Here is an 8,469-nt window from a genome sequence, read left to right on the forward strand (position 1 = left end):
AAAACCTGATGGAACTGATAAATTTATTTATAATTCATTGTACCTCAACCATTGAGATAAAGACTCTATCCTCCAGTATCAAGGTGATTAAAATAGCAATACTTAAATCCAAATTAAAATAAATTAAAAAGTTGACTTTTTTTGTTCCCTTCTTTTCACAGGTGTTGAAAAAGTTGCCTTTTAAATACCCGAAGAATAAAAAAAAGAAAGAAAAACTGCCAATTCCTTTATTAGACTGAAAACAACCCAAATATTGAGCAAAATAAGATTACTTGTATACCTGACAATTTATACTATCCTGCTCTTTAAAAAATTGAGAGTAAGAGATACATATATATATTTTTTGAGACTGAGTCTTGATCTGTTGCCCAGGCTGGAGTGCAGTGGTGCGATCTCGGCTCACTGCAACCTCCGTCTCCCAGGTTCAAGTGATTCTCCTGCCTCAGCCTCCTGAATAGCTGGGACTACAGGCACATGCCACCACGTCCAGCTAATTTTTGTATTTTTAGTAGAGACGGGTTTCACCATGTTGGTCAGGCTGGTCTTGAACTCCTGACCTTGCGATCACCTGCCTCAGCCTCCCAAAGTGCTGGGATTACAGGCATGAGCCACCGTGCCTGGCCGAGAGATCTTTAGACCCTAACATAGAAAGTTGTATAGAGGTTCCAAGATGGCCGAATAGGAATAGCTCCAGTCTGCAGCTCCCAGCGTGAGTGACACAGAAGATGGGTGATATCTGCATTTCCAACTGAGGTACCAGGTTCATATCACTGGGGCTTGTCAGAGAGTGGGTGCAGCCCACGGAGCAGGGCGGGGCATTGCCTCACTGGGGAAGCTCAAGGGGTCGGGGAATTCTCTTTCCTAGCAAAGGGAAGCTGTGACATACAGTACCTTGAAAATCGGGACACTCCCACCCTAATACTGCGCTTTTCCAACGTCCTTAGCAAATGGCACACCAGATTATATCCCGCGCCTGGTGCAGAGGGTCCCACGCCCACAGGGCCTCGCTCACTGCTAGCACAGCGGTCTGAGATGGAACTGCAAGGCGGCAGCAAGGCTGGGGGCAGGGCATCCACCATTGCTGAGGGTTGAGTAGGTAAACAAAGCCACCGGGAAGCTCGAACGGGGTGGAGCCCACCGCAGCTCAAGGAGGCCTGCCTGCCTCTGTAGACTCCAGCTCTGGGGGCAGGGCATAGCTGAATAAAAGGTAGCAGAAACTTCTGCAGACTTAAACGTCCCTGTCTGACAGCTTTGAAGGGAGTAGTGGTTCTCCCAGCATGGAGTTTGAGATCTGAGAACGGACAGACTGCCTCCTCAAGTGGGTCCCTGACCCCCGAGTAGCTTAACTGGGAGACACCTCCCAGTAGGGGCCAACTGACACCTCATACAGCCGGGTGCCCCTCTGAGACGAAGCTTCCAGAGGAAGGATCAGGCAGCAACATCTGCCATTCTGCAATACTTGCTGTTCTGCAGCCTCCGCTGGTGATACCCAGGAAAACGGTCGGGAGTGGACCTCCAGCAAACTCAACGACCTGCAGCTGAGGGTCCTGACTGTTAGAAGGAAAACTAACAAACAGAAAGGACATCCGCACCAAAACCCTGTCTGTACGTTACCATCATCAAAGACCAAAGGTAGATAAAACCACAAAGATGGGGAGAAACCAGAGCAGAAAAGCTGAAAATTCTAAAAATCAGAGCGCCTCTTCTCCAAAGGAACGCAGCTCCTCGCCAGCAGCGGAACAAAGCTGGACGGAGAATGACTTTGACGAGTTGAGAGAAGAAGGCTTCAGATGATCTGTAATAACAAACTTCTCCAAGCTAAAGGAGGATGTTTGAACCCATCGCAGAGTAGCTAAAAACCTTGAAAAAAGATCAGACAAATGGCTAACTAGAATAAACAGTGTAGAGAAGTCCTTAAATGACCTGATGGAGCTGAAAACCATGGCACAAGAACTACGTGATGCATGCACAAGCTTCAGTAGCTGATTTGATCAAGTGGAAGAAAGGGTACCAGTGATTGAAGATCAAATGAATGAAATGAAGTGAGAGGAGAAGTTTAGAGAAAAAAGAGTAAAAAGAAATGAACAAAGCCTCCAAGAAATATGCGACTATGTGAAAAGACCAAATCTATGTCTGATTGGTGTACCTGAAAGTGACAGGGAGAATGGAACCAAGTTGGAAAACATTCTTTAGGATATTATCCAGGAGAACTTCCCCTACCTAGCGAGGAAGGCCAACATTCAAATTCAGGAAATACAGAGAATGCCACAAAGATACTCCTTGAAAAGAGCAACTCCAAGACACATAATTGTCAGATTCACCAAAGTTGAAATGAAGGAAAAAATGTTAAGGGCAGCCAGAGAGAAAGGTCGGGTTACCCACAAAGGGAAGCCCATCAGTCTAACAGCGGATCTCTCGGCAGAAACTCTACAAGCCAGAAGAGAGTGGGGGCCAATATTCAACATTCTTAAAGAAAAGAATTTTCAACCCAGAAATTTCATATCCAGCCAAACTAAGCTTCATAAGTGAAGGAGAAATAAAATCCTTTACAGACAAGCAAATGCTGAGAGATTTTGTCCCCACCAGGCCTGCCTTACAAAAGCTCCTGAAGGAAGCACTAAACATGGAAAGGAACAACCAGTACCAGCCACTACAAAAACATGCCAAATTGTAAAGACCATCAGTGCTAGGAAGAAACTGCATCAACTAACGAGCAAAATAGCCAGCTAACTTCATAATGACAGGATCAAATTCACACATAACAATATTAACCTTAAACATAAATGGGCTAAATGCTCCAATTAAAAGACACAGACTGGCAAATTGAATAAAGAGTCAAGACCCATCAGTGTGCTATATTCAGGAGACCCATCTCACGTGTAGAGACACACATAGGCTCAAAATGAAGGGATGGAGGAAGATCTACCAAGCAAATGGAAAACAAAAAAAAAGCAGGGGTTGCAATCCTAGTCTCTGATAAAACAGACTTTAAACCAACAAAGATCAAAAGAGACAAAGAAGGCCATTACATAATGGTAAAGGGATCAATTCAACAAGAAGAGCTAACTATCCTAAATATATTTATATATATTGCACCCAATACAGAGCACCCAGATTCATAAAGCAAGTCCTTAGAGACCTACAAAGAGACTTAGACTCCCACACAATAATAATGGGAGATTTTAACACCCCACTGTCAACATTAGACAGATCAACGAGACAGAAAGTTAACAAGGATATCAAGGAATTGAACTCAGCTCCGCACCGAGCAGACCTCTCCACCCCAAATCAACAGAATAGACATTATACATTCTTCTCAGCACCACATCACACTTATTCCAAAATTGACCACATAGTTGGAAGTAAAGCACTCCTCAGCAAATGTAAAAGAACAGAAATTATAACAAACTGTCTCTCAGACCACAGTGCAATCAAACTAGAACTCAGGATTAAGAAACTCACTCAAAACCGCTCAACTACATGGAAACTGAACAACCTGCTTCTGAATGACTACTGGGTACATAACAAAATGAAGGCAGAAATAAAGGTGTTCTTTGAAACCAACGAGAACAAAGACACAACATACCAGAATCTCTGGGACACATTCAAAGCAGTGTGCAGAGGGAAATTTGTAGCACTAAATGCCCACAAGAGAAAGCAGGAAAGATCTAAAATTGACACCCTAACATCACAATTAAAAGAACTAGAGAAGCAAGAGCAAACACATTCAAAAGCTGGCAGAAGGCAAGAAATAACTAAGATCAGAGCAGAACTGAAGGAAATAGAGACACAAAAAACCCTTCAAAAAAATCAATGAATCCAGGAGCTGGTTTTTTGAAAAGATCAACAAAATTGATAGACCGCTAGCAAGACTAATAAAGAAGAAAAGAGAGAAGAATCAAATAGACGCAATAAAAAATGATAAACGGGATATCACTACCGATCCCACAGAAATACAAACTACCATCAGAGAATATTATAAATATCTCTACACAAATAAACTAGAAAATCTAGAAGAAATGGATAAATTCCTGGACACATACACCCTCCCAAGACTAAACCAGGAAGAAATTGAATCCCTGAATAGACCAATAACAGGTTCTGAAATTGAGACAATTAATAGCCTACCAACCAAAAAACAGTCCAGGACCAGACGGATTCACAGCCAAATTCTACCAGAGGTACAAAGAAGAGTTGGTACCATTCCTTCTGAAACTATTCCAATCAATAGAAAAAGAGGGAATCCTCCCTAATTCATTTTATGAGGCCAACATCATCCTGATACCAAAGCCTGGCAGAGACACAACAAAAAAAGAGAATTTTAGACCAATATCCCTGGTGAACACCGACGCAAAAATCCTCAATAAAATACTGGCAAACCGAATCCAGCACCACATCAAAAAGCTTATCCACCACGATCAAGTTGGCTTCATCCCTGGGATGCAAGGCTGGTTCAACATATGCAAATCAATAAATGTAATCCATCATATAAACAGAACCAAATACAAAAATCACATGATTATCTCAATAGATGCAGAAAAGGCCTTCAACAAAATTCAACAGCCCTTCATGCTAAAAACTCTCAATAAACTAGGTATTGATGGGACGTATCTCAAAATAATAAGAGCTATTTATGACACATCCACAGCCAATATCATACCGAATGGGCAAAAACTGGAAGCATTCCCTTTGAAAACTGGCATAAGACAGGGATGCCCTCTCTCACCACTCCTAGTCAACATAGTGTTGGAAGTTCTGGCCAGGGCAATCAGGCAAGAGAAAGAAATAAAGGGTATTCAATTAGGAAAAGAGGAAGTCAAATTGTCCCTGTTTGCAGATGACATGATTGTATATTTAGAAAACCCCATCGTCTCAGCCCAAAATCTCCTTAAGCTGGTAAGCAACTTCAGCAAAGTCTCAGGATACAAAATCAATGTGCGAAAATCACAAGCATTCCTATACGCCAATAACAGACAAACAGAGAGCCAAATCATGAGTGAACTCCCACTCACAATTGCTTCAAAGAGAATAAAATACCTAGGAACCCAACTTACAAGGGAAGTGAAGGACCTCTTCAAGGAGAACTACAAACCACTGCTCAACAAAACAAAAGAGGACACAAACAAATGGAAGAACATTCCATGCTCTTGGATAGGAAAAATCAATATCGTGAAAATGGCCATACTGCCCAAGGTAATTTATAGATTCAATGCCATCCCCATCAAACTACCAATGACTTTCTTCACAGAATTGGAAAAAACTACTTTAAAGTTCATATGGAACCAAAAAAGAGCCCGCATTGCCAAGACAATCCTAAGCCAAAAGAACAAAGCTGGAGCATCACGCTACCTGACTTCAAACTATACTACAAGGCTACAGTAACCAAAACAGCATGGTACTGGTACCAAAACAGAGATATAGACCAATGGAACAGAACAGAGGCCTCAGAAATAATGCCACATATCTACAACCATCTGATCTTTGACAAACCTGACAAAAACAAGAAATGGGGAAAGGATTCCCTATTTAAAAATGGTGCTAGGAAAACTGGCTAGCCATATGTAGAAAGCTGAAACTGGATCCCTTCCTTACACCTTATAAAAAAAGTTAATTCAAGATGGGTTAAAGACTTAAATGTTAGACCTAAAACCATAAAAACCCTAGAAGAAAACCTAGGCAATACCATTCAGGCCATAGGCATGGGCAAGGACTTCATGACTAAAACACCAAAAGCAATGGCAACAAAAGCCAAAATTGACAAATGGGATCTAATTAAACTAAAGAGCTTCTGCACAGCAAAAGAAACTACCATCAGAGTGAACAGGCAACCTACAGAATGAGAGAAAGATTTTACAGTCTACCCATCTGACAAAGGGCTAATATCCAGAATCTACAAAGAACTTAAACAAATTTACAAGAAAAAATCAAACAACCCCATCAAAAAGTGGGTAAAGGATATGAACAGGCACTTCTCTAAAGAAGACATTTATGCAGCCAACAGACACATGAAAAAACGCTCATCATCACTGGCCATCAGAGAAATGCAAATCAAAACCACAATGAGGTACCATCTCACACCAGTTAGAATGGCGATCATTAAAAAGTCAGGAAACAACAGGCATTGGAGAGGGTGTGGAGAAATAGGAACGCTTTTACACTGTTGGTGGGACTGTAAACTAGTTCGACCATTGTGGAAGACAGTGTGGTGATTCCTCAAGGATCTAGAACTAGAAATACCATTTGACCCAGCCATCCCATTACTGGGCATATACTCAAAAGATTATTCTGCTATAAAGACTATTCACAACAGCAAAGACTTGGAACCAACCCAAATGTCCATCAATGATAGACTGGATTAAGAAAATGTGGCACATATACACCATGGAATACTATGCAGTCATAAAAAAGGATTAGTTCATGTCCTCTATAGGGACATGGATAAAGCTAGAAACCATCATTCTGAGCAAACTATCGCAAGGACAGAAAACCAAACACCATGTGTTCTCACACATAGGTGGGAATTGAACAATGAGAACACTTGGACACAGCGTGGGGAACATCACACACCAGGGCCTGTTGTGGGGTTGGGGGAGGGGGGAGGGATAGCATTGGGAGATATACTTAATGTAAATGACGAGTTAACGGGTACAGCACACCAACATGGCACATGTATACATATGTAACAAACCTGCATGTTGTGCACATGTACCCTAGAACTTAAAGTATAATAAAAAAAATTTAAAATTAAAAAAATTTAAAAAAGAAAGTTGCATATTACTAAATGAGAAAAGCAATTTGCAAAATATAATTTATATAATCTCATTTTTGTGGAAAATGTTTATATACATATTTACATATGCATATAAAACCTCTTGAAAGACCATCTAAAACTTAACTGCTGTTATCCTAGAGGGGAGAAGGCAGGTCATCAAAGGGGATTTGCACTATTTATCTCTGTCATGTTTAAGTTTTTATTATAAGAATGTATTAATTTTGTGCAAAACAATAAAAGTAGGCCAGGCGTGGTGGCTCACGCCTGTAATCCCAGCACATTGGGAGACCAAGGCTGGATGATCTCGCCAAGCCAGGAGTATGAGACCAGCCTGGACAGAATAGCGAGACCCTGTCTCTAAAAATAAATAGATAGATAGATAGATAGATAGATAGATAGATAGATAGATAGATAGATAGACAGACAGACAGACAGACAGACAGACAGACAGACAGATAGATAAACAAACAATAAAAGTCTTAACTTTCTCCTTTGTGGAAGAAATTCTAAGGGGATAGGACAGTGCCTCAATGAACTCATTTTAAATTAGCTCTCCCTTTTTACACAAAAACTGCCCAAATCTGCTCTACCTCCCAATGAATTTTTGCATCCCTTAGGAGTTCTCTAGTCAAGTAAATGGCAAAAACTGTGGTCAGGGAAGAAGTCAAGGCTGAAATCCAGGAGTCATTGCTCCTTATCTTCCTAGAACCTGACTCTTGGCCTGAAATAGACTCTACTGCTCCCTTTCTGAATGAAGAGAGAGGAGGACCTAAAGTTGTTTGTGTAGGAGCCACAACTGACCAAGCTCATCTCACAATAAGGTTTGGAGCCCCAAATAAAGACTTGGTCTAGAAGATTCCATGTGGACAACAAAATTACACAGTTAAGATACTGAGGTGAAGACCCCCTAAATCGTCTGGCCTAGGTAATGGAGAAAGTGAATTTGTGTATTAATTCTTTATTTTCTGGTTCAGTCTAGCCAGAGAGGGTTTTGGAGCAAGAGGAACAAGGTTAAAAGAAAAGAACAAAGACCATTGTCTCAGGGAGACCTTAAGAAAGGTGATGCGGATGCTAAAGTAGAAGGTGTGAAAATAGTTAGAAAGAATGAAGAAGACCTAGTATTCAACAGCACAACAGGGTGACTATCGTCAATAATAATTTCATTGTACATGGTAACTAAGAGTATAATTAGACTGTTTGTAACACAAAGGATTAATGCTTGAGGTGATGGATACTCATTTACCCTGATGTGATTATCATGCATTCATTGTATGCCTGTATCAAAATATCTCATGTACATGTACTCCATAAATATATATACCTACTATGTATCCACAAAAGTTAACTGAAATTTTTTTTAAAAGATGGGGCTATATGGCTACATAGACATCAGTCTGGAGCCCTTTGAGGATCCCCAGTGCTGTGGCTGAGGCCACCCTCCTCCCTAGGGAACAGAAGGAGCAGAGTCCCAGAGAAGTGTGAGCGAGGGCCTGGGTGCCCTCCTGGCTCCGCCACCTGAGTTTAAGAAAGTAGGGATTTTGAGATCACCTTTGTGTGCCTATTGAAATCTCTTTCCTTCTTCGAAACTCAAATTCTACCTTCTTCAGAAAACCTCCCCTAAATAAGCCTACACTATTATAGGCAGTTTGTAGCTTTCTAATACTTTATTAAACTGCGTTATTTTATTGTCACCTTAC

At 41.0% G+C, this 8,469-nt stretch overlaps 1 annotated feature.

Moving 5' to 3' along the window:
- Positions 566-1,067: an enhancer, noted in NCBI's record as "H3K4me1 hESC enhancer chr10:102214151-102214652 (GRCh37/hg19 assembly coordinates)". NCBI's record gives its function as "activates a minimal SCP1, AML or CMV promoter by ChIP-STARR-seq in naive H9 embryonic stem cells {active_cell/tissue: H9 hESC(naive)}" and the evidence as "EXISTENCE:reporter gene assay evidence [ECO:0000049][PMID:30033119]".

This window comes from Homo sapiens, chromosome 10, assembly GCF_000001405.40.
Source record: "Homo sapiens chromosome 10, GRCh38.p14 Primary Assembly".
Classification (NCBI taxonomy): Eukaryota; Metazoa; Chordata; class Mammalia; order Primates; family Hominidae; genus Homo; species Homo sapiens.